This window comes from Homo sapiens, chromosome 19 (assembly GCF_000001405.40).
Source record: "Homo sapiens chromosome 19, GRCh38.p14 Primary Assembly".
NCBI lineage: Eukaryota > Metazoa > Chordata > Mammalia > Primates > Hominidae > Homo > Homo sapiens.
In genome coordinates this window covers 40,888,200-40,913,527 of record NC_000019.10, presented here as the reverse complement: position 1 = coordinate 40,913,527, position 25,328 = coordinate 40,888,200, and the positions used below count along the sequence as shown (strand labels likewise).

Sequence of the window (25,328 nt, the reverse complement as noted above, 5' to 3'; positions counted from 1 at the left end):
AGCGGAGGCTGCAGAACAGCAAATATTGCAGAACGGCAAATTTTGCTGTCTGATCCTTCTTCTGAAAGCTTCATCTCAGAGGGGCACCTGGCTGTATGAGGTGTCAGTGGGCCCCTACTGGGAGGTGTCTCCCATTTAGGCTACTCAAGGGTCAGGGACCCACTTGAGGAGGCAGTCTATCTGTTCTCAGATCTCAAACTCCATGCTGGGAGAAGCACTACTCTCTTCAAAGCTGTCAGACAGGGACATTTAAGTCTGCAGAAGTTTCTGCTGCCTTTTTTTCAGCTATGCCCTGCCCCCAGGTGGATTCCATAGAGGCAGGCAGGCCTCCTTGACCTGCGGTGGGCTCCATGCAGTTTGAGCTTCCTGGCCACTTTGTTTACCTACTCAAGCCTCAGCAATGGCGGATGCCTCTCCCCCAGCCTCGCTGCCACCTTGCAGTTCGATCTCAGACTGCTGTGCTACCTGTGAGTGAGGCTCCATGGGGGTGGGACCCTCCAAGCCAGGCGTGGGATATAATCTCCTGGGGTGCCGTTTGCTAAGGCCATTGGAAAGGCACAGTATTAGTGTGGGAGTGTCCTGATTTTCCAGGTACCATCTGTCACGGCTTCCCTTTGCTAGGAAAGGGAATTTCCCGACCCCTTGCACTTCCCGGGTGAGGCGCTGCCCTGCCCTGCTCCATGGGCTGCACCCACTGTCTGACAAGTGCCAGTGAGATGAACCCAGTACCTCAGTTGGAAATGCAGAAATCACCCATCTTCTGCATCACTCACGCTGGGAGCTGCAGACTGGAGCTGTTCCTGTTTGGCCATCTTGGAACCTCCTCCTCAAATTGGGATTATTTTGAAGAAAATGCCAGACCTTGCATCAATTCACCTATAAATGTTTTCACCACGTATCTCTAAAATTATCCCCATTTACCACTGGGGAAACCAAGGCATGAAGAGATCACATAACTTAATCAACGTCACTTTTCTGATAGCATTCAGAGCCAGGATCAAAGCCCAGCTCCCTGGATCCAGGGCCCTTGCCATTAACTGTTGAGATGCCTCTGGAAACTTAGATGTGAGTCTTTTTTTTTCTTTGTGTATTTTGTTTGTTTGTTTTCTTTTTTGTTTTTGTTTTTGGTAATGACAGGGTCTCAATGTGTTGCATGGGCTGGTCTCAAACTCCTGACCTCAACCAATCCTCTTGCCTCAGCCTCCCAAAGTGCTGGGATTACAGGAATAAGCCACCACGCTGAACCATGAGTGAGTCTTAAGTGTGGCATCACTCAGGCAACAAAGAAACTACCATTTCGTTTCAAAGTTGTCAAATTACTTCTCAAACCAACAGTTGGAATATAAACCTCAGGGATGAAAGTATTGCATCAACGTTAAATTTACTATAGCTGATAAATGTAACTGCAGTTATATCAGAAAATGTCCCCATTTTTAGGAGATACTCTCCAAAGTATTGAGAGGTAAAACCTATGTTGTATGTAATTTACCCTAAGTGGTTCAGAAAAAGTACTAAATAGATATTGCTATGGTTTGAATGTTTTTTATCCATGTTGGAATGTAATCCCCAATGCAACAGTATTGGGAGGTGTGGCCTATGACAGGTGATTGGGTCATGAGGGTTCCATCATCATGAATGGGATTAGGTACCCCTACAAAAGGGCTTGATGGATGGAGTTCACCTCTCTTGGTCTTCCACCTTCCACCATGTGAGAACGCAGTGATCCTCCCCTTGGAGGATCCAACAGCACGGAGCCATCTTGAAAGCAGAAACCTGATCCTCACCAGGCACCGAACCTACCAGCTCCTTGATCTTGGACTCCCAGTCTCCAGAACTGTGGGAAATAAATTTGTATTCTTTATAAGTAGACTGGGTGCTACTGCTCACGTCTGTAATCCCAGCACTTTGGGAGGCTGAGGTGGGCAGATTACTCAAGGTCAGGTGTTCAAGACCAGCCTCACCAACATGGTGAAACCCTGTCTCTACTAAAAATACAAAAATTAGCCAGGAGTGGTGGTAGGCGCCTGTAATCCCAGCTACTCTGAAGGCTGAGGCAGGAGAATCACTTGAACCCAGGAGGCAGAGGTTGCAGTGAACCAAGATCATGCCATTTGCACTCCAGTCTGGGCAACAAGAGCACAACTCCATCTCAAAAAAATAAATAAATATGTTACCTAGTCTGTAGTATTTTGTTATAGTAGCATAAAACAGAGTAAGATAGATAGATGATTGATTGATAGAATAGAACAAGTCATATTGGGAATGGGTTAAAATGTTAAGGTGAATCTGCATAAAGAGTACTTTTTTAAACATTTTAATCTGGGCCTCAGCCAGGCGCGGTGGCTCACGCCTGTAATCCCACCACTTTTGGAGGCTGAGGAGGACGTTCAAGACCGACCTGGCCAACAAGGTGAAACCCCATCTCTACTAAAAATGCCAAAATTAGCTGGGCATGGTGGTGCATGCCTGTAATCCCAGCTACTCGTGAGGCTGAGGCAGGAGAACTTCTTGAACTGGGGAGGTGGAGGCTATAGTGAGCCAAGATCATGCCACTATACTACAGCCTGGGTTACATAGCAAGACTCCATCTCAAAAAAAAAATAAATAAATAAAAATAAATAAATAATAATCTGGGCTGTTTGCAGTGGCTCCCACCAAAATCCCAGCACTTTAGGGGGCTGGAAAAGGAAGATTGCTTGAGCCCAGGAGTTTGAGACCAGCCAGGGCAACATGGCGAGATATAATCTTTACAACAAATTTTTTAAAACATTAGCCAGATGTGGCGGCATGCCTTGAGGGCAAGAGGAGTGAGGTTGGCCTAAAGCCCCCTCTCCCTGCAGGAGGAGAAGAACCCCAACACAGAGTTCTACTTGAAGAACCTGGTGCTGACCACGTTGAACCTCTTCGTTGGGGGCACTGAGACCGTCAGCACCACCCTGCACTACGGCTTCCTGCTGCTCATGAAGCACCCAGAGGTGGAGGGTAAGGCTGGAGGGGAAGGGAAGTGGAGGGTCCCAGACCCTCAAAACTCCCCTGAGCCTGGTGCAAAGTCCCCACCTGTCCCAGATCCCAGGACCCTGAGACGTGCCTTGCTGTCCAGAGACAGGGCAATATTCAGCTGATAGGCATCAGCTGAGTCTCATTAGCTATTTAAATATTGAAAATGTCTGCAATGATTGGTCAGTCACTCCTGTCCCAAGCCCACTGAGTGCCCGCTGCCCGCTCCTCTGGATCATCCCCTGAATTCCTCCCTGTGCCTCCCCTGTGATTCTGGCACGACCTGGTTAACGTGATCCTGCGCCAACAATGCTAATTGCTGACATCTGTTATGAATGGTCTACCTCCGTGTCATACACGGAGCCAAGTCATCCACCCCGTTTTACCTATTCAGGCTATCATCCCTGCTCTGAGACCCCTAGATACCTAAACGCATTCCCCTTCCTCCCCCAGCAAAGGTCCATGAGATTGACAGAGTGATCGGCAAGAACCAGCAGCCCAAGTTTGAGGACCGGGCCAAGACGCTCTACACAGAGGCAGTGATCCATGAGATCCAAAGATTTGGAGACTTGCTCCCCATGGGTGTGTCCCGCAGGGTCAAGAAGGACACCAAGTTTCGGGATTTCTTCCTCTCCAAGGTGCTGCATGTCCCCCCACCAGCCTAGGACTTCCAACACACTCTCTGTGACCTCAGCACCCCATCTCCATGAGAAGCTTTCTAGCCCCTGTCTCACTCTCTCAATGAAAGATTTTTTGAACCACCACATCCCTTCCATCTTCCCTCTCAGAGACTCCTGAATCCTGTATCTCCCCCAGAATTTTTGCCACATGGAGAGGAATGAACTCCATGTCCACAAACTCCCTGTCCCAAGGGACATGAGTCTCCTTTTCCTTTCCCCTTGCCTTTTTGCTTTAAGGACATAAATTTCATGTTCCCTGAACACCCTGCCTAAGAGGACATGAACCCCATGTCTCCCAAACTTCCTGTCTCAGAGACGTGAAACTTCTATCCCCCAAGGCTCCTCCCTCAGAGGTCCCCAATTCCCATGCCTGCCACTTCCCCTCACCTGGGGCACCCTAGTTCCCCCTCCAGCCCCTGTGTACTCTCAACAATCCCCCAACCCGCCTCATCACATACACCTTCCTCCTCCCTCCCAGGGCATAGAAGTGTTCCCTATGCTGGGCTCCGTGCTGAGAGACCTCAGGTTCTTCTCCAACCCCCGGGACTTCAATCCCCAGCACTTCCTGGGTGAGAAGGGGCAGTTTAAGAAGCGTGATGCTTTTGTGCCCTTCTCCATCAGTAAGAGACCACTGTTTGCTGCCAGGCTACTACTCACACCAGCAGGGGCCTCCCTTACCCAGCTCCCCTCTCTGCCGTGTAGCCTAGTATTTCCCCAGCTTGGAAGTTCCTGTTAGAATCTACCGTTGAGCCACCAGCTGATACTCCCTTAACTACCAAGCACCCAGTACCTGTGCCCAGGCAAAAGGAAAGGAAACATCATACCCCTTTCAGAGGCGGGGAAAACCAAAGCCCAGAGAGAATCAGAGATTTATTTCCCTAGGGTCACACAGCAGATTCTTCAGATCCCTAAAAAGGAGATGACGGCACAGCAGTCATATTTGCGAGTGTTATCTGGGGGAAGGGGCATCTAAACCTCCCATTGTGACACCTGGCATCGATCACCCCATCTTTTGTACATCTTTTGTACACTCAAGGAAACTGAGGCTCAGGGAGGATCAGAGCCTCCTCTGAAAGTCTCTCAGGCCATAATATTCCACCCCTCCTCCCTGGGAGAGCCGCAGCTGGAGGTCTGTAGCGGGGCAAGGCTGCACTAAGAGTGGGCTTCACCTCCACCCCTCCCGCCTCTCCTCCTCAGGAAGGCGGAACTGTTTCAGAGAAGGCCTGGCCAGAATGGAGCTCTTTCTCTACCTCACCACCATCATGCAGAACTTCCGCTTCAAATCGCGGCAGTCGCCTAAGGACATTGTTGTGTCCCCCAAACACGTGGGCTTTGTCACAATCCCACGAAACTACACCAAGTGCTACTTGCCTTGCTGAGGGAGGGCTGTGCTGGTGCCGGCGTGGTGGGCGGGATCAGAGGAAGGGCGGGGCCAGGAGCGGGCCTGCGGGAGGGGCGGGGCTAAGAATGGGGGCAGGACAGGGGGAAAGGAAGGGGCGAGGTGGTTAGGGGGAAGAGAAGAAACAGAAGGGGCTCAGTTCACCTTGACGATGTCCTTCAGAGCTGGGATGAGAGGAAGGGAAACCTTAAACTATGCTACAAAGAGTAGTAATAATAGCATCTCATTTCTTGAACAAGTACCTCCGTGTCAGCTCTGTTCAAAAACCGTTGCATGCTCACCTCACTTAATGCCCACAAACCTCTGCAAAGGGGAACAGCATTCATGCCCATTTTACACATGACAAAGCTGAGGCTCAGAAAGTTGTCTGTAGCTGAGGTGTCACAGAATATAAGTGCCCAGCAAATCTTTGAACACAACCCTCTGGGCAGATTCTTAAAAAGCACCCCTTCCTCAAGTCAAACAGCTTAGTATAGCATCACACAGCCTGAACAGCCCTGTCCTGGGGTTTTCTCCAGAGACCTGGCCGGCGGTTGTCCTGGCTTCACTGCACACTTGCCCACTCTCACCTACTCAAGCACACTTTGTGCACCAGGGTGTAGCCTGCACCCCCTACCAGGTAAGGCCACTGTCGTCCATTGAGAGTCAGTTCAGGGACACAATGAGACCGCTTAATGAAGAAATTGACAGAGAGAAACATTCTGAGAGAATGCTGGGAGAACTCTGGATCAGGACATACCATATGCATGTGTGTGATCATGTACAGTTGTGCATGTGAGCATATGACTGCATACTCTCCCCATGTATGCATGAAAAACATTCCACTATGGGTTTCTGAAGGTTGGGTTCTCTTGATGGATCTAGGGTCTGTTGTAAGACCCAGCTAAGAGTTTCACAATTACCTGCCCTCTCTCAAATAAGTTAGTGTGTGTCCCCCTTAGAAGCTCCCTTACAGCTTTCACGAAAATTAACTCCAAGTTTATTGTAGACCTAAATAAAAAATGAGTATAAAACTTCTAGAAGATAACATAGGAGAAAATCTAGATGACCTTGTGTTTGCTGGTGACTTCTTAGACACAACACCAAAAGCACAATCCATGAAAGAAACAATTGATAAATTCTACATCATTAAAATTACAAATTGCTCTGCAAAAGAATTGTCAAGAGAACGACAATACAAGCTACAGACGGAGAGAACATATTTACAGGGCACATACCTGATAAAGGACTTACATTCAAAATACACAAAGAACTGTTAAAACTCAACAATAGAAAGCAAACAACCCAATGAAAAGTGGGCAAAAGATCTGAACAGACACCTCACCAAAGAAAATATACACATAGCAAATAAGCATACGGAAAGATGCTCCACATCATATGTCACTAAAAATTTCAAATTAAAACAATAATGATATACCACTACCCACCTATTAGAATGGCTAAAATCCAAAACTGATCACCAAATGCTGGCAAGGAGGTGGTCCAACAGGAACTGTCATTCATTGATGGTGAGAATGCAAAATGGCGCAGCTAATTTGGAAGACAGATTTGCAGTTTCTTGCAAAGTTAAACAGATTCTTACCATGTGATACAGCCATCAGGCTCTTTGGTATTAACCCAAATGAGCTTTATATCCACACACAAAAACTTATATCCACACAAAATCTTACACAGAAATGTTTACAGCAGCTTTATTCATAATTGCAAGACTTGGAAGCAACCAAGATGTCCTTTAACAGGTGAATGAGGAAACAAACTGTGGTACATCCATACAATATTATTTAGCAATAAAAAGAAATGAGCTATCAATCTATGAAAAGACTGGGAGGAACCTTAAATGTATATGGCTCAGTAAAAGAAGCCAGCCTGAAAAGGCTTCATACTGTGTGATTCCAACTATATAATATTCTGGAAAAAGTGAGACTGTGAAGACAGTACAAAGATCAGTAGTTGCCAGGAGTTTAGGGAGGAGGGATGAATAAGTGGAGAATATGGGATTTTTTCTTTCTTTCTTTCTTTCTTTCTTTTTTTTTTTTTTGAGACGGAGTCTCGCTCTGTCATCCAGGCTGGAGTGCAGTTGAGGATCTCGGCTCACTGCAAGCTCCGCCTTGCCTCCCATTCTCTCCTGCCTCAGCCTCCTGAGTAGCTGGGTCTACAGGCGCCCACCACCACGCCTGGCTAATTTTTTGTATTTTTAGTAGAGACGGGGTTTCACTGTGTTAGCCAGGATGGTCTTGATCTCCTGACCTTGTGATCCGCCCCCCTCAGCCTCCCAAAGTGCTGGGATTACAGGTGTGAGCTGCTGTGCCCAGCCCATTTCTGTTGTTTTTTTAAGCCACTCAGTTTGTGGTACTTTGTTATATGTACCTAGGTTCCTAGGCAGCCCTAGGAAGCTAATAAATCCATCCCTGGATAAACTGATAAATAAAAGGTGATATATCCATACAATGCAATTTCGTTCAGCCACAAAGAGGAATGAAGCAGAACTTCATGCTACAACTAGCATGAACCTTTAAAAAAGTATTAGTGAAAGAACGCAGTCAGAAAAGACCACATAATATATGACTTAATTTATATGCAAGTCAGGAATAGAGAATCTAGGCCAGGCATGGTGGCTCATGCCTGTAATCCCAGCAGTTTGGGAGGCCAAGGCCGGACGATCATTTGAGGTCAGGAGTTCAAAACCAGCCTGGCCAACATGGTGAAACCCCATCTTTACTAAAAATACAAAAATTAGCCTGGCGTCGTGGTGGGTGCCTGTAATCCAAGCTACTCAGGAAGCTGAGGCAGGAGAATCTCTTGAACCTGGGAGGCAGAGGTTGCAGTGAGCAGAGATTGTGCCATTGCGCTCCAGCCTAGGCAACAGAGCGAGGCTCCATCTCAAAAAAAAAAAAAGTGAATCTACAAAGAAAAGTAGATTCGTGGTTGCTCAGGGCAGGGAATTGACTGTGGGGGAAAAGGGGTAAGACCTAGAAGGTATGAGGTTTCTTGTAGAGGTGATGAAAATGTTCTAAAATTGACCATGGTGATGGTTGCAGTATTGATTAATACACCCAAACCCACTTAATTGTACACTTTATGATCTGTAAGTTATATCAATAAAGGCTTTTTCAAAAAGAAAAGAAACAAATATAAAGAAAAAAACCTCACAGTAAAGAAAATGTCCTCTCTGACTTGTAGGTCTTGATTAGTTCTAGGAAGAAAATTGATTCACCTAGTTTCTGAGAAATGTTTACTCTAATTAAATGAATTACTTCCAGGGGATAGCAGGAGTACGGATTCCCTCTAACCTGCCTCATACTTCCTGGTGTTACCTAATCCACCTGGGCTTCCTCCATCACAGTCCTCCACATTCTACTCCGTGCTTCCTTCATCAGAGCTATGCTGGGCTATGCTGGGCCGTCACTGTAAAGGATGGAGCACTCTTCCCTGCTGGGCTGTGAGCCCTATGTGGTGAGTCACTGAGCTTTTCCTGGTCACCATTATGTCATTAGGTCCTTCCGTGGGCCCCTTGGAAGGACCCGATGTGTGTTGAATAACTACAATGTCTTAGATTCTCAGAATTTCTAGGAACTTTTTTTTTTTTAACAGAATCTCACTCTGTCGCCAGGCTGGAATGCAGTGGTTTGATCTCAGCTCACTGCCACCTCCACCTCCCGAGTTCAAGCGACTCTCCTGCCTCAGCCACACGAGTAGCTGGGACTACAGGCACGTGCCACCACATCCAGCTAATTTTAGTATTTTTAGTGGAGACGGGCTTTCACCATGTTGGCCAGATTGGTCTCAATCTCTTGACCTCGTGATCCGCCCACCTCGGCTTCCCAGAGTGCTGGGAATACAGGCGTGAGCCACCGCGCCAGCCTCTAGGAACTTTCTAATAGGCTCACGTCATAAATAGAAATGAAGGCTATTTTGAGGACCTATAGCTCTTCTGTGCTTTACCTAAAGAGAGATCAACAATTCTCTCTCCTGCTTATTCTTTTTTTTTTTTTCCTTAAGACACAGTCTTGCTCTATCACCAGACTGGAGTGCAGTGGCGTGATCTCAGCTCACTGCAACCTCTGCCTCACAGGTTCAAGCAATTCTGCTGCCTCGGCCTCCCTAGTAGCTGGGACTACAGGCACGTGCCACCATGCCCGGCTAATTTTTGTATTTTCTTGGTAGAGACAGGGTTTCATCATGTTAGCCAGGCTGGTCACGGACTCCTGACCTCAGGTGATCCACCCGCCTCAGCCTCCCAACGCCCTGGGATTACAGGCGTGAGCCATCGCGCCCGGCCTGCTTTATGTATTCTATTTGCAAGTAAGATCATTTTAAAAAACGTTTCACAGCTAAAAATGTTTGATGCCCATTGTACTGTGTACTTGCGAGGTGTGTTTGTAGCTCTGAGATGCTGCATTTATAGAAGGGGGTGCCAAGGCTTTAATGATGTGGGTTTGTATGTTGGTGTCTGTGGTGGGCATAGGGATGTGCTACTTGAATCTTCATTCATGGAGAACTTTCCAATCAGCTTCAATAAGGGCAGTGAGCTGAGAGTCTCCAGTTGCAGCACCATTAGGACCCACCTCAGTGTGGAGCGGAACCCATGCTTTTCCAAGGAAGCCCCAAATAGTAATTAAGGACTCTGGGATCCAGGGCATGACCCTATCTGTCCAACATAAACCATCCCCAACAGCATTTTTCTCTGGATTATGGGTCTGTTATCTCTGCCTGGTGGTCTTGGCCTGTCTCTGTCCAATCCTCCTTCCTTCCTTCTTTTCTTTCACAAGTGTTGGATCTGCATCCTGTTCTGAAGACTTTTCTGCTACCAGTGTCATCTGCTTCCTTCCTTTTTGGTCTTTCACATGCATTACCCTCCTCCCTCCAATAAAATGATGGACCCCTAACTCCGTCTAAATCTCAGCTTCCCGGAGGATCTAATTCCCATAATGTATATAATGGCATTTATTGTTTGTTTGTTTGTTTGTTTTGAGACAGTCTCACTCTGTTGCCCAGGCTGGAGTGCAGTGACACTATCACTGCAACCTCCACCTCCCAAGTTCAAGTGATTCTCATGCCTCAGCCTCCTGAGTAGCTGGGATTACAGGGATGCACCACCATGCCTGGCTAATTTTTTTTCTATTTTTAGTAGAGATGGGGTTTCACTGTGTTGGCCAGGCTGGTCTCGAACTCCTGGCCTCAAGTGATCTGCCCACCTTGGCCTCCCAAAGTCCTAGGATTACAGGCGTGAGCCACCATGCCTGGCCGCATTTATTGTTTATTATACACACAGTCTCAAAACTCTTTTCTGATTTTCTGAGTACCTCCTATTGTGTGGCTCTTGATCAGGGACAAGGCTTTGCCTCCCACTACAACAGCTGAAGGAGGTATTCATTCTTCCTCACCTCACCTTGAACCCTAAGGTTTTAACATGTGGCTAGATGTCTGGAACTCTTAATCATGAGGATGTGAGACAAAAACACAGACACAATCAGGAAATCATCTATAGTGGCATCAGTGGGTCTAGAGTCCCATGGCAGTACCCAGGGGGTGGGTCAGGTGTTCAGTACCCAGGAGATGGGTGGTGTGGCAGCAGGTCCTACCAGATAGCTTTGAACATTACCTTGGCTGTTGGTCCCCTACCACAGCCTCTTTTTCCTACTCATATTCTTACCCTATTTTTCCAGAATTGCTGTTAATTTTGTGAGCTAAACAATCACCTTCCAGTAGCTAACAGCCTTTCTATTTAAAATAACCAAAGTCACTTTATATTGCTTAAAAATAGGAACCCTGGCCGGGCGCAGTGGCTCAAGCCTGTAATCCCAGCACTTTGGGAGTCCGAGATGAGTGGATCACCTGAGGTCAGGAGATAGAGACCAGCCTGGCCAACATGGTGAAATCCAGTTTCTACTAAAAATACAAAAATCAGCCAGGCGTGGTTGTGCGTGCCTGTAATCCCAGCTACTTCAGGGAGCTGAAGCAGGAAAATCACTTGAACCTAGGAGGCAGAGGTTGCAGTGAGCTGAGATCATGCCACTACACTCCAGCCTGGGTGAGAGAGTGAGACTCTGTCTAAAAAAAAAAAAAAAAAAAAAAAGGAACCCTGACTGTCATGGGTCCCAAGGTTCCCTGGAGGTGACAGGTTGAAGAAGAGGTGATCAAAGATGAGATCCTATCCTTGGACTCCTGCCTGAACTCCCTCTTTCTCTCACACCCTATATACAATACCGTAGCAAACCCCACCATCTCAGAGAGTGAAACAGATTTCAAATCTACCATATTCTGCCCAGCTTCACTGCTGCTGCTGGGTCTGAGTCAACACCACCAGTTGCAGTAGCCTGCTAATAGGTCTTGGCTTTTGTATCCATCATATGATAGCTAGTGTGAGCCCTGTAAAATATGTCTGTACATGTCATCCTCTGCTCACCATCCCTCCAAATACCTCAATCACTCTCAGGGTAAAAGCCAAGACCTCACCTTGGCCCACAAGACCCCACACAGTCTGGTCCCCATCGCCTCCCTGGCCTCGTTTCCTTCACTCCTACTCTGTCTTCCTCCTCCATGCGAGCTACACCTGCTCCCTGTGGATTCCTGGATGCACACAGCCTCCTGCCTTAGGACTCTGCTGGTTTGTTTGTTGCTTTGTTTTTTGAGACAGAGTCTCACACTGTCACCTGGGCTGGAGTGTAATGACACAATCTCAGCTCACTGCAACCTCTGCTTCCCGGGTTCAAGCAATTCTCTGTCTCAGCCTCCCAAGTAGCTGGGATTCAGGCACCTGCCACCACGCCCAGCTAATTTTTGTATTTTTAGTAGAGACATACGTTTCACCATATTGGCCAGGGTGGTCTCAAACTCTTGACCTCAGGCGATCCGACCACCTCGGCCTCCCGAAGTGCCGGGATTACAGGCATGAGCCACCACGCCCGGCCACTGCTGTTGGTTAATCTTTCTGCCAGGAACACTCCCTTCCCAGATATCTTCATAGCTTGTTGCCCCATCACCTTGTGAAACCACCCCTAACCATCCATTTGCAATTCCAATCACAGAATGCATATCCCACTTACCAGCCTTGCTTTTCTAATGCAGTATGTCATTTGCATATTTGTTTCATGTATGCTTTATTGTCCACCTTCCTTACTAGAATGTTAGCTCCCTGAAGGCAGGAGTTTTTGTCTGTTTTGCTTACTGATGGATCCCAAGTCCCTGAAGACTACGCTGGCACTTGTTGGGTATTCAGTAAATATTGGCTGAATAAATGAAAAAGAGGGAACGTTTTTGTCAGTTAATGGAGTCTGGAAAGGGAATGATAGAAGCTGGGGATAACTGAGCTATCCTCAAAAATGGAGTGGGGAGGCCGAGCACGTTGGCTTATGCCTGTAATCCTAGCACTTTGGGAGGCCAAGGTGGGTGGATGGCTTGAGGTCAGGATTTCAAGACCAGCCTGGGCAACATGGCGAAAACCCATCTCTACTAAAATTACAAAAATTAGCCAGATGCAGTGGCACGTGCCTGTAATCTCAGCTACTCGGGAGGCTGAGGCATGAAAATCCCTTGAACCCAGGAGGCAGAGGTTGCAGTGAGCCTAGATGGTGCCACTGCACTCCAGCCTGGGCCACAGAGTGAGACTCCATCTCCAAACAAACAAACGGACTGGGGAGTATTTGGAATTGGGAGTTGTGCTGAGAGCAACTGGAAAGGAAGATTAGAAGAAGAGATGATGGCGGAGAAAGGTAATGAGTCAGCAAGATGGGTGAGGATGGGGCATTTTACCCAGGGGAAGTCACTGGAGAGCAGCTGGCAGAAACTATAACTCATAACAAGTCAAGAAAGACATTTCAAGCTGTTGGCTGTGCCCTACATCGCTGTCACACACCATACTCAATAAACTTGCTACGCTCAACAGACTTGAGGTCTTTGTTCACTTTTCGGGGGCTGGTGGGTAAAGATGAGAACCAAGGAGAAAGGATTTTAGACTACATTTTGGTCAAAATCAGAGCACACACAAAAAGGGACAACATGAAGACACAGGGACTGCAGTAATAATTTGATGCAGCCAGAAACCTAAGCAACGGTGACCATGTGACCATGAAACCTGCAGGCAGAGGTGCAAATCTTGCACAGGGCGTTGCTCTTCTACGGGAGAGGAAGACACGCAGCTGTACATTCTCAGGTGACCCTGGCTGACTCTGTAATCATAGTGCCTCCTCTTAGGGATGCTTGAGGATTAGTAAGATGAGGAAGAGGGGGTGCTCCTGAACACGAGAGGAGAGCTGCATTCTTCACCACTTCCTCCTTGCCCCGCAGGAGGTGTGGCTCAGCGGGCCACAAGGCAGAGCTCATAGGTCGGGGTGATGTTGCCAAAGCCTGAGAGCTTGGGGGTGATATCGATGTCCACAAGTGGCACCAGCGAGCATAGAGAGAAGTTCTGAAGGGTGGAGGTGAAGTAGAGAAAGAGTTCCATGCGGGCCATGGCCTCGCCCAAGCAGATGCGCTTTCCTGCAGGCACAGGGGAGGGCAGAAGGAAGGGTTGCACCTGCACAGGTCATGGGGGTGCCAGGGGTGTCTGGACTGACCACCCCACTGGGCCTCAGCTGCCTCATCCGCACATCAGGGCTCATGACTGTGACTGCTTTATAAAGGGGTGTTACACAGGCTTAGTGGGTATCTATAGTTAGTGCTCAGCTAGGACCTGCTACTTCTCTGATGGCTGGGATTCCATCCCGTTCCAAGACGGAATGGTTCTATAGGATCCATGAGTTTCAAGGTTGTGTTCATTTCAGTTCCTCAAGGGTTTGTCAAATGCCTATTAGGTGCCAGACACTGGTGAGGAAAAAAAGTGAAAACTCACCCGTAATAACACTTACTGTTTATAAGCCACTCTTCCAATTGTTTGGAGGGATTAATCTCTGTTTCACAGATGGGGGCTGAAGTGACTCACCCAAGACCCCACCATTTCTAAATGATGGAGTGGAGTCCAGATTCCCAACCACTGTCCTGACTCCAGGTTCCAAATGACATACACTTTTGGTTGTTGTTTTTTGTTTGTTTGAGACAGGGTCGTACTCTGTCACCCAGGCTGGAGTCCAGTGGCATGATCTCGGCTCACTGCAACCTACACCTCCCGGGTTCAAGTGATTTTTGTGCCTCAGCCTCCTGGGTAGCTGGGATTACAGGCGCCTGTCACCACGCCTGGCTAATTTTTGTATTTTTAGTAGAGACAGGGTTTCACCATGTTGGCCAGGCTGGTCTCGAACACCTGGCCTCAAGTGATCCACCTGCCTCGGCCTCCCAAAGTGCTGGGATTACAGGCATGAGCCACTGTGCCATGCCAACATACACTTAAAATGTTGCTGCATAAAGATTTTATGACATGAGTAGGCAAATGAGTGTCTGTTGGGCAAATTTGCCCTGCTGCTTGTGTTCATACAGCCTGCAAACTAGGATGCTTTTGGCATTTTAAAATGGTTGGGGAAAAAAGACTCTTTTGTGATATATGAAGATAAAACAAAATTCAAATTTCAGTGTCCGTAAACAGTTTTTCAGGCTCACACACATGCTCATTCATTTACATATTGTCTATGGCTGCTTTCATTGATCAATGGCAAAGGTTCAGAGACTATCTGGCTGGAAAAATAGAAAATATGTCTTATTTTGTTCTTAACAGCCAGCCAGTTGGTTTATGCCCTGTTTAGTGCTATTACCATCCCAACTTTTTTTTTCTAATTATCAGAGTCAAACATCCTAATATTTACTAATTCTGGGATTCTAAAACTTTATGGTTCTATGATATAACCTTCAAATTCACACTGTGACTTGAACTTCAAATACAGACCAGTGGCTTGGGGGTGGATTTAGCACATGCCTGGAGGAAGTCAGACCAGAGAAACCTACCAGAGGAAAAAGGCACAAAGGCTTCATTCTTCTTGAAGCGGCCCTGCTCATCCAGAAAGTGCTGGGGATAGAAGGCATCTGGGTAGCGGAAGTATTTGGGGTCTTTGAGGACAGAGCCAAGCAGGGGAAATACGTCTGTGCCCTGGGGTGAAAATGAGGGCAGTTAGGAGAAATCAGTGTTGGGCTACAGAGGTAGGGAACCAGGGAGAGAGAGGAGTGCAGTGGAAGGGAGGCAATGAGGGTGCAACCCCACCTTGGGCAGAAGGTAACCTCGAAACTGAGTGTCCTGGATGATGTTGTGGGGGACACCCATGGGCACGATGTCTACCAGTCTCTGTATTTCATGGATAACGACATCTGTGTAGGGCATCTTGACCCGGTCATCCACCCTTGGGAGCCGGTGTGGTCCAATCACCTGGTTAATCTCTTCGTGAATCTTAGCTGGAAGGGGCCAGAAAATATAGCGGACAAGGGCACAAAACAAAACAAAACAAAATAAAACAGGTGTTTTTGTTAGGGAAGCCAGGGCAAATCATGCATTCCAAGCTCCAGCAGAAAGAGATCTCAGATGCAAGCCATGCATGTTTGCTCCCTTCTTTTTTTTTTTTTTTTTGACAGCCTGTCACCCAGGCTGGAGTGCAATGGCACAATCTCGGCTGACTGCAACCTCCGCCTCCTGGGTTCAAGTGATTCTCTCTCCTCAGCCTCCAGAGTAACTGGGATTACAGGCACCTGCCACCGGCCCAGTTAATTTTTGTATTTTTAATAGAGACAGGGTTTCACCATGTTGGTCAAGCTGGTCTCAAACTCCTGACCTCGTGATCCACCCACCTCAACCTCCCAAAGTGCTGGGATTATAGGCGTGAGCCACCACACCAGGCCTGTTTGGTCGCTTCTTTAACTTAACAACTGACACACTGGTGATGCTCAATTACTCATCAGACATCGGGAGACAGGCAGCTTGGAGTCTTGAACGCTGCCAGGACATTTGGTCTTTACTTAAAAGAACCAAAAAGCCATGGTCCCAGCTTGGCTCTCATACATGGGTTTTTTAAAGAATGGGAAAGAGGCATGCTAGGTGACTAGGACAGGATTGACACAAATGACAAGCGGTTATGTGACTGATTAAGATCACCACTGCTGGAGTTACTCCTCTGCACTTTAGGGATGAGTGACTTCACCTTCTGAACTTGTTTCATCATCTTCAAAATGAGTGTGCTGTTTGGACAAGGTCATAGAGTTGTAAACATTACATAAAGTCTGGTATGCAAGGCAAGGAACTAGGACAGTGCTTGGCACATAGAAGCATCCAATAAATATTTGATTTTCTTTTCTTTTTTTTTTTTTTTTTTTTGAGACGGAGTCTTTCTCTGTACCCCAGGCTGGAGTGCAGTAGTGCAATCTTGGCTCACTGCAACCTTTGCCTCCTGGGATCAAACGATTCTCATGCCTCAGTCCCCCAAGTAGCTGGGATTACAGGTTTGCGCTACCATACCTGGCTAATTTTTGCATTTTTAGTAGAGAAAGGGTTTCACCATATTGGCCAGGCTGGTCTCGAAGTCCTGGCCTCAAGCGATTTGCCCATCTCTGCCTCCCAAAGTGTTGGGATTACAGGCGTGAGCCACTGCACCCGGCCTGATTATTTAGACCAGTGAAAGACAACTCAGACAATGGAGGTGACACTAGAAACATTTGAGTGGAAGTGTGTTAGCATCTCTCATCTGCACCAGGAGAAATCCTTTGGCTTGTTTTGAATTGCATTATTAAGGAGAGGGGCCAAAACTGGGAATTTTCCTTAAGCAAGTAGTGAGTTCCTCATTACTAAAGTTACCCAAATGGACCAGATCAGAAGTGATTGGAGACGGATTCTATTTAACTTTGGCAGGGCAGTTGGCTCGATAATGTCCATCAAAGATAACCACCTCCAAGTCTCTAAAACCTAATGCCTGGAAGGCTATGTATACAAGGGTAACAAAAACACAAGAGAGACTTTGAAAATGCCAGTAAATTAAGAATCTTGGGATGAAGAGATTAGCCTGGGTTGTCAAGATTGGCCTTCAATATAATATTGTGTGTCTGTATAAAAGAGAGGCGGGAGAATCGGAGTTTGAAAAAAAAGATGTGAGGCTAGGCGCAGTGGCTCATACCTGTAATTCCAGCATTTTGGGAGGCCAAGGAGGGTGGATTACCTGAGGTCAGGAGTTTGAGACCAGCCTAGCCAACATGGTGAAACCCTGTCTCTACTAAAAATACAAAATCAGCTGGGTGTGGTGGCACATGCCTGTAATCCCAGCTACTCAGGAGGCTGAGGCAGGAGAATCACTTGAACCCAGAAGGCAGAGGTTGCATGAGCTGACATCACGCCACTGCACCACAGCGTGGGCAAGAGAGGAAGACTCTCCAAAATAATGAAAAAGAATAAAAGATGTGATGCCAGAAGCAAACAGAGGCTTGAAGAAGCTACGCTGCTGGCTTTGAAGATGGAGGACAGAGTCGTGAACCCAGGATTACAAGGAGTACAGCTTTAACACCCCGAAAAGGCAGAGAATCAGATGGTCCGTTGGTGTCAGCTAGTGAAAGCCTATTTGAACTTCTGAAATTCAGAACAGAAGGATAATACATTTGTGTTGTTTTAGATGACTAAGTTCCTGGTAATTTGTTACAGCAGCCACAGGCCGCAGACACCAAGTAGAAGATTAAGTTAAATGACCTCCCAAAGTCGGGGATTTTGTGTTTCCACGTCCTGAAGTTCTAAAGGGTGAAGAGTCATGAGGATTCAGTATCATTATCCATATAAAATAATTAGCACAATGCCTGGCATACAGTAAGCACTCAAGAAAAGCTAGTTGAGCTTAATCATTATTTTTTATTATTATTACTTAAATGTGTTGATGTTAGAGACTCATATTTGGAGAAAAGTGGGATAAGGGACACATTATAAAAGTTCCTGAATTCTGTCTAGTTCTACCGATAATTCCATTTAGGCAATTTAAAAAATCCTTCCGGGCTGGGCGCGGTGGCTCACGCCTGTAATCCCAGCACTTTGGGAGGCTGAGGCAGGCAGATCATGAGGTCAGGAGTTGGAGACCAGCCTGGCCAACATGGCGAAACCCCGTCTCTACTAAAAATACAACAATTAGCCGGGCATGGTGGCAGGTGCCTGTAATACCAGCTACTCAGGAGGCTGAGGCAGGAGAATCGCTTGAAACTGGGAGGTGGAGGTTGCAGTGAGCTGAGATCATGCCATTGCACTCCAGCCTGGGTGACAAGAGCAAGACTCTGTCTCAAAACAAAACAAAACAAAATCCTTCCCTTGCCCTCACCTACACCTTCCGTAAAACAAGATCAGTAGATCTGGGAACAATTTCTCTAGAATAATGCACATATTCACAAATACACAATTTTATGAATAATTTCTGGGGTACATGGGCATTTGAAGCTTTTATATAGACCTGTTAATCACCCATAGAGACCAGGCAAGGAGCCTCAGGTGTAGAGAAAATGTGTCTCTATTTCTACCTCTTATCTAATTTTCTCTGTTTGTTTGTTTGTTTGTTTGTTTGTTTGTTTTCAGCCTGTCTTTTCTCTATAGACCCCAGTGTTTCTAGACCTTATTTTTTGGTGGAACTGAACTCCTTTAAAAACACAATGAAATGAGTATAGAGTTTCACATTTGCAAGATAAAAAAGTTCAAAAGATTTTTTTCACAACATGAATATACTTAACACTACTGAACTGGACACTTAAAATGGTGAATATGGTAAATTTTATGTTATGTATTTTTTTTACCACAATACAGATATACAAATGGAATGAAATTTGAGACTCTCTTCAAGAAGAGTCACAAAGTCATATGTCACCAAAATCTGTGTAGGATATCGAGAGCTCACAGACCCACCCTGAGATCCACTGATGAAAGTTTCTAGATAAGTGGTCTCTAAGGGTCTTCCATGTTAATTGTTTTGTTGTTGTTGTTTTAAGAGATAGAGTCTCACTGTGTCTCCCATACTGAAGTGCAGTGGCATGATCATAGCTCACTGCAGCCTTGAACTCCTGGGCTCAAGCAACTTCCAGCCTCAGCCCCACAGGCGGCTGACACTACAGGCATGTGCCACCATGCCCAGCTCATGTAAACTCTTTTTTTTTTTTTTTTGAGACGGAGTCTCGCTCTGTCGCCCAGGCTGGAGTGCAGTGGTGCAATCTCCGCTCACTGCAAGCTTCACCTCCCAGGTTCACACCATTCTCCTGCCTCAGCCTCCCGAGTAGCTGGGACTACAGGTGCCCGCCACCACACCCAGCTAATTTTTTTGTATTTTTAGTAGAGACAGGGTTTCACCATGTTAGCCAGGATGGTCTTGATCTCCTGACCTCATGATCCGCCCGCCTTGGCCTCCCAAAGTGCTGAGATTACAGGCATGATCATGTAAACTCTTAATATGGAAGCTGCCAGAAATCTCAGTGGATTCTTAATATTTTCCCTCTTCTTCCATTCCAGAGCTTTCTCCCGCCAAGGCCCATCTTCTCGTGACTGAGAGCTCCATAACCACCCAGTCACCTAGTGGCCCTCCCCCTTGTGGCCCTCATACCTTGGTCTTCTGGAACTCCTCCAGTAGGTAGCTGGCCTCCTCCTGAATTCGCTCCTTAATGCTCTGCTTTCCCATCCCGAAGTCCCGAAGGATGGTCAGGGAGAAGCGTCGGAGAATCCTCCATCGTTCTCCATTGGCCAGAGCTACACCTGCCAAGATCTCAGTCTCAGGCTTCTGCCTCCCTCCCCTTGCTGTGTTCAACTCTGTGCTTAGGCAGTGATGGGGAAAGATTATGAAAGCTCTAGACTCTGCTGTCCAGGAAGCCATCCTCAACCTTCAAGACTCAATCAAGAGAGTAAGGTTCCCTCTCTGCAGGATCCTCGGGAAAGAAAAAAAAAAAGTCCAGACTCAGGTGGAGGAAAAGGGAATCAGTGCAGGAATGATAGGGGGAGATCAAAGAGTGTTTCTTACAGGAAGCAGAGGTGGAACTGGATAAATAAAAAAATAACTGAGTGAATAACAGTTGGAGAGTGGATAGAGAGATTGATAGATGTATGAATGATGAAAGCATTAATGAATGGAAGGAATGATGACTAGATGAATAAATAGAAAGTTAATTGACAGAAGTATAGATAATAGAGTGAAAGATATTTTTATAGAAAGAATAATGAATGGATTTTCTGATGAATATAGATCAATGGACAGAAGAAAAAAGGTAATAGAAAGATAGATGGATAGATAGATAGATAGATAGATAGATAGATAGATAGATAGATAGATTGATAGGCAGAATGTGGTGAGCCTCCTTGGAATTGAAGGATGTGGGCAGTTAGAGATGGATGCATGAGAGAAAGAGATCTACCTAAGTGAAGGAGGCAGAGACCTATGGGTTAGGTATGTGTATAAGTATAGGAAGATGAGAAATAAGGTTAGCTATAAGGGGTATGAGGGTTGGCTATGGGTGCATAAAGAATATCACTAATCCCCCGGGCTCAGTGGCTCACACCTGTAATTCCAGCACTATGGGAGGCTGAGGCAGGTGGATCACCTGAGGTTGGGAGTTCGAAACCAGCTTGACCAACATAGAGAAACCCCATCTCTACTTAAAATACAAAATTAGCCGGGCGTGGTGGCGCATGCCTGTAATCCCAGCTGCTCAGGAGGCTGAGGCAGGAGAATGGCTTAAACCCAGGAGGCAGAGGTTGTGGTGAGCCAAGATCATGCCATTGCACTCCAGCCTGGGTAACAAGAGTGAAACTGTCTCAAAAAAAAAAAAAAAAAAAAATATATATATATATATATATATATATCTCACTAATCCATTAAAAATAGGAGCAGAAATAACACAGAAAACAGTTTGGAGTCAGATGGCATAGGCTCAAAATAAAATTATCCTACCACTTACTGTGTGACATTATCTAACCTTTATCTTAGCTTTTTCTTTTTTTTTTTGAGACAGAGTTTCACTCTTGTTGCCCAAGCTGGAGTACAATGGTGCAATCTCAGCTCACTATAACCTCCGCCTCCAGGGTTCAAGTGATTCTCCTGCCTCAGCCTCCTGAGCAGCTAGGATTACAGGTGCCCACCACTATGCCCAGCTAATTTTTTTTTAAATTTTTAGTAGAAACGGGGTTTCACCACGTTGGCCAGGCTGGTATCAAACTCCTGACTTCAGGTGATCTGCCCGCCTCAACCTCCCAAAGTGCTGGGATTACAGGCATGAGCCACCATGCCTGGCCTATCTTAGCTTTTTCATTGACAACATTAGTATAATGTTAACAGCTCTCCTAAGGGAGTCAATACAGTAAGTCATGTGGACTACTTACCAAAGAACCTGGCATATAGGGAGTGCATTGCAGTCATTTCCGGTTTTATTGTTTTTGTTGTTGTTGCTACCTACCATGACCTTGGAAGTTTTGCTTTATTGAAGCCAGTTCTCCACGGCCACTGAACTCATCCGCTTGGTCTATCAAGGCTTCCTTCACTGCTTCGTGTCCACATAAAACCACCACTGGCCGGGACCCATGTACACAGTGAACACAGGGCTGTATTTCTCCCTGAGCTTGGAGTGAAGGAAAACACAAGAGGAGGGGCTGACTGGAGTACCAAGCATAGGCCAGTTGAGGATTTTAGAGGATGGCGATTTTAGAGGGATATAAACATGGTACTAAGGAACCAAGGTAAATCTGGGCTTGGAAGGAATACTGGGAAAGAGGCACGGAAGTCTTGGCTTCTGTCATTCTCGGCAAAAGCTCATCCCTTCCCACAAGAGTTACTGTCTGCATCTCCAAAATAAGGGACCTGGATTCGATAAATTCCAAGATTCATACTTCTCTCTCTGAAATGTTAAATTTCTAGAATCTTAAGACTTCATGATACCAAGTCTCAAAGTGCTAAGACAAGCTGAGTCAAAGAATCCTGTGTTTAAAAATATAATGTACTGTGATTCCAAAGTCCTGAGATCATGAAAATCTTATTTCAATGCACTGAGAATGTGTGTTTCCAACATTTTAGGATTCTGGAATTTCAGAATTCTAAGATTTGCAAAGTCTGTGTTTCTGAGAGTCTATCTTTTAGAAGTCATAAGTTTCTATGTGAATCTGGCTATAGGATTAGTTGCTTTTAGCCCTATTAAAGGAGACAGACAGACTCACCTTCATGAAAGACTGAAACGTAGCATCAGTTCGAACTTGCAGCAGGTGCCCCAGGAAAAGAATTGGTGTAGGACCTGGGGGCAGCTTTCCTGCCTTATCCATTCGTTTCCAGGCAATGAGGATGAGCAGGCAAGACAAGCGGAGTGCCAGAAAGATGGTGACAGCCCCTCCCAGCTCCATGGTGCCAGGTCAACAGGTTCTGTCCTGGGCACCAGATCCTGCCTAAGTAGGTCCTGGGAGATCAGCTTATACCAAAATCTGAACACCCTGGGATTCAAGTTTTCCGGGTTTGAGTGTCATCGGGGAAGAGATTGCTTTATATTGGGGGTGGTTATATAACCTATAATCTCCCACCTGAATAAAGGTAAATTGAATTCACACAGGGAAATCCTCTGGGGCCATTCCCCTTTCTTCATATTTCCAGTCTCCCTGTTCTTCCCTCTCAGCTCAACAGAATTGAACAGAATTTCTTGGTGGGGTGTAAGAGGCAAATTATTATCTTTTTAGGCTATTGATTTTAGGATCCAGACAATCTGGGTACAAGTGGCAGCTCTGTCTTTTCTTCACTGGGAAAGTCACTTAACCTCTGGGACTTGTTTCCCCATCTATCAAACAGGGAAACCATGTTGTTTTATTTTTTTTTATTGTTTTATTTTTTGAGACAGATTCTCACTCTGTCACCCAGGCTGGAGTGTAGTGGTATAATCTCATTTCAACTTCTGCCTCCAGGGTTCAAGCGATTCTCATGCCTCAGCCTCCCAAGTAGCTAGAACTACAGGCGCACACCACCATGTCCAGCTAATTTTTGTATTTTTGTAGAGATGTGGTTTCACCATGTTGGCCATGCTGGCCTCGAACTCCTGGCCTCAAGTGATCCACCACCCGCCCCCCCGTTAGCCTCCCAAAGTGCTGGAATTACAGGCGTGAGCCACCACAGCTGGCAGACCATGTTGTTTTAGAAAGTCTTGATAGACAACAAGGAAAACTCTTTGTTCGTTACTTAATTAAGTATAACCCTAATTAAACAGTTATTAAATTTTTTTAATTGACATAATAATTGTACATATTTGTGGGGTACAGTGTGATGTTTTTATACATGTATGCGATGTATAACAATCAAATTCGGGTAATTATTATATCCATTACTGAGACATTTATCATTTCTTTGTGGTAAGAACATTCAAAATCCTCTCTTCTAACTATTTTGAAATATGCAATGTATTATCGTTAACTACAGCTACCCTACTGTGTAATGGAACACTAGAATGTTAATAAGGAAAGTAAGCTGAAGATTTAGAAAACAAGAGAAATAAATCAATTGAACAGGTTTTGTTCAAAAAGTTCTTGTTTTCTACTCAAGATGTTAAATAACAATAATCAAAGATTACTTGTGTTGGTGTATCAGAACTTTGCTGTATCAAATTTAAAAAAGAAAAAAAGAACTTTGCTGTATTGTGTGTTGGTGTGTGTGCGTGTGTGTGTTTTAAAACTCTAAGGTGTAGGGATCACCTCTGAACCCCAGTCTCTGGAGGAGAACATCTCCTCCAGCGCAATTAGTGATTGTGTTCCTTAATAATCTAAAAAGTGATTCACTACCTTTTCCGCACCAAATATTTTCAAAGCCTTATTGGCCTGAAATGAACTTCCTGGATATTATATCCTACCCACATATACTATTTATCAAAATTCAATGTCCTTTTCACACGACTGTATTCTCAGACTTGGAAACTGAATCCCTCAAGGTATCTGTAAGTTTTGGGAATGGGGTTTGGCTGGCTGAGCTGAGGCATCCTGTGTCCAGAAGCAGTGGAAATTCTACGAAAACTGAGTGACTCACACACAGTGCCACGTTCTGTCTCTTGGATCTGCTGCTAGAATGTCTTTCTTGGAGTAGAGACTCAGCTCAGCCCATCTCCTTTGACTCTCTTAGATTTCACCTCCCCATCCCATTCTGATCCTCACACCCCAGCATTTAACACCCATTCAGGGTGGTGGCATGTGTGTGGTGATGGTGAGTCTGGTTTTCCTACTCAGACGGGAAGGGAGAGAGCAAATACTCTTAGAACAGCTCCCTTCACCATTCCACCTCCAGATAGGAAGCCAGGAGTGGAGGAACTTGAACTAAAAAGTAGAAGCAAGCTAAAGAGGAAAAATAATTGCAGAGGACTTGAGGCAGAGAAATTCAGAGCATGGCAGATTATGCCAGGTATTATGTGATGGAGACAGAAATCAAGATTGAGACAAAATCGAGGTGCATAGAAACAGAACCAGAGTGAGATCAAAATAGAGATGAGGACAGGCACAGTGACTCACACCTGTAATCCCAGCACTTTGGGAGGCCAAAGCAGGTGGATCACCTGAGGTCAAGAGTTCGAGATCAGCCTGGCCAACATGGTGAAACCCTGTCTCTACTAAAAATACATGCACACACACACACACACACACACACACACACACACAATTAGCCAGTCATGGTGGCGGGCGCCTGTAATCCCAGCTACTCAGGAGGCTGAGGCAGGAGAACTGCTTGAACCCGGGAGGTGGAGGTTGCAGTGAGCCAAGATCGCACCACTGCACTCCAGCCTGGGCAACAAGAGCGAGACTGTCTCAAAAACAAAACAAAGCAAACAAAACAAAATTGAGATGAGAGAGAGAGAGATTCAGTGAGTCAAAGATAAATGTCAAGGAGGACACAGAGACAAAAGACAATTCAAAGAAACAGAGAGAGGGAGATAGAAGCAGAAAGAATAAAAGACAGGAAAAAAGTTTCAGTGAGACAGAGACTGAGAAAGTGACATACGGCTGAGAAGAGAATCAAGAGGAACCCAAAGAGTGGACGCACCCATGGCTCACAGAGAAATCCAACTAGACAAAAAGTTGGAGGTGGAGATGAACAAAGAGAAAGGCAACGAAACAAAGAGATACAGGGACAAGAGAGAAACCCAGGTCTAAGTGGGATAGAGAGAAGGAGATTTGTGCTCCAGAGGGTGTGTGCATGAAATGGAACCTGGGTCATTTTTTGCCTAGTCACATGGCCCTCCTTCTGGGACTAAGAAATGTGATGCTGCCAGAATATTTTTTTTTTTTGAGATGGAGTCTTGCTCTGTTGCCCAGGCTAGAGTGCACTGGTGTGATCTTGGCTCACTGCAACCTCCACCCCCGCCCCCGGGTTCATACTTTGTTTTGTTTTTATTTTTAA

General features: G+C 45.9%; 1 pseudogene across 1 annotated transcript, besides 2 other annotated features; it reads right to left on the bottom strand.

Moving 5' to 3' along the window:
- Positions 5,014–5,163: a silencer, noted in NCBI's record as "silent region_10651". NCBI's record gives its function as "represses an Ori minimal core promoter by ATAC-STARR-seq in GM12878 lymphoblastoid cells {active_cell/tissue: GM12878}" and the evidence as "EXISTENCE:reporter gene assay evidence [ECO:0000049][PMID:35858748]".
- Positions 13,020–22,702, bottom strand: CYP2G1P (cytochrome P450 family 2 subfamily G member 1, pseudogene; annotated as a pseudogene). Its single transcript, NR_040249.1, has 5 exons — positions 21,376–22,702; positions 19,536–19,854; positions 15,203–15,390; positions 14,950–15,091; positions 13,020–13,554 (listed from the first exon to the last, which is right to left on the bottom strand). The product of NR_040249.1 is annotated as a cytochrome P450 family 2 subfamily G member 1, pseudogene (transcript).
- Positions 15,970–16,264: an enhancer, noted in NCBI's record as "tiled region #12493; HepG2 Activating DNase unmatched - State 8:EnhW, and K562 Activating DNase matched - State 5:Enh". NCBI's record gives its function as "activates a minimal TATA promoter and a strong SV40 promoter by Sharpr-MPRA in HepG2 and K562 cells {active_cell/tissue: HepG2 | K562}" and the evidence as "EXISTENCE:reporter gene assay evidence [ECO:0000049][PMID:27701403]".
- Positions 22,703–25,328: the final 2,626 nt, after the last annotated feature.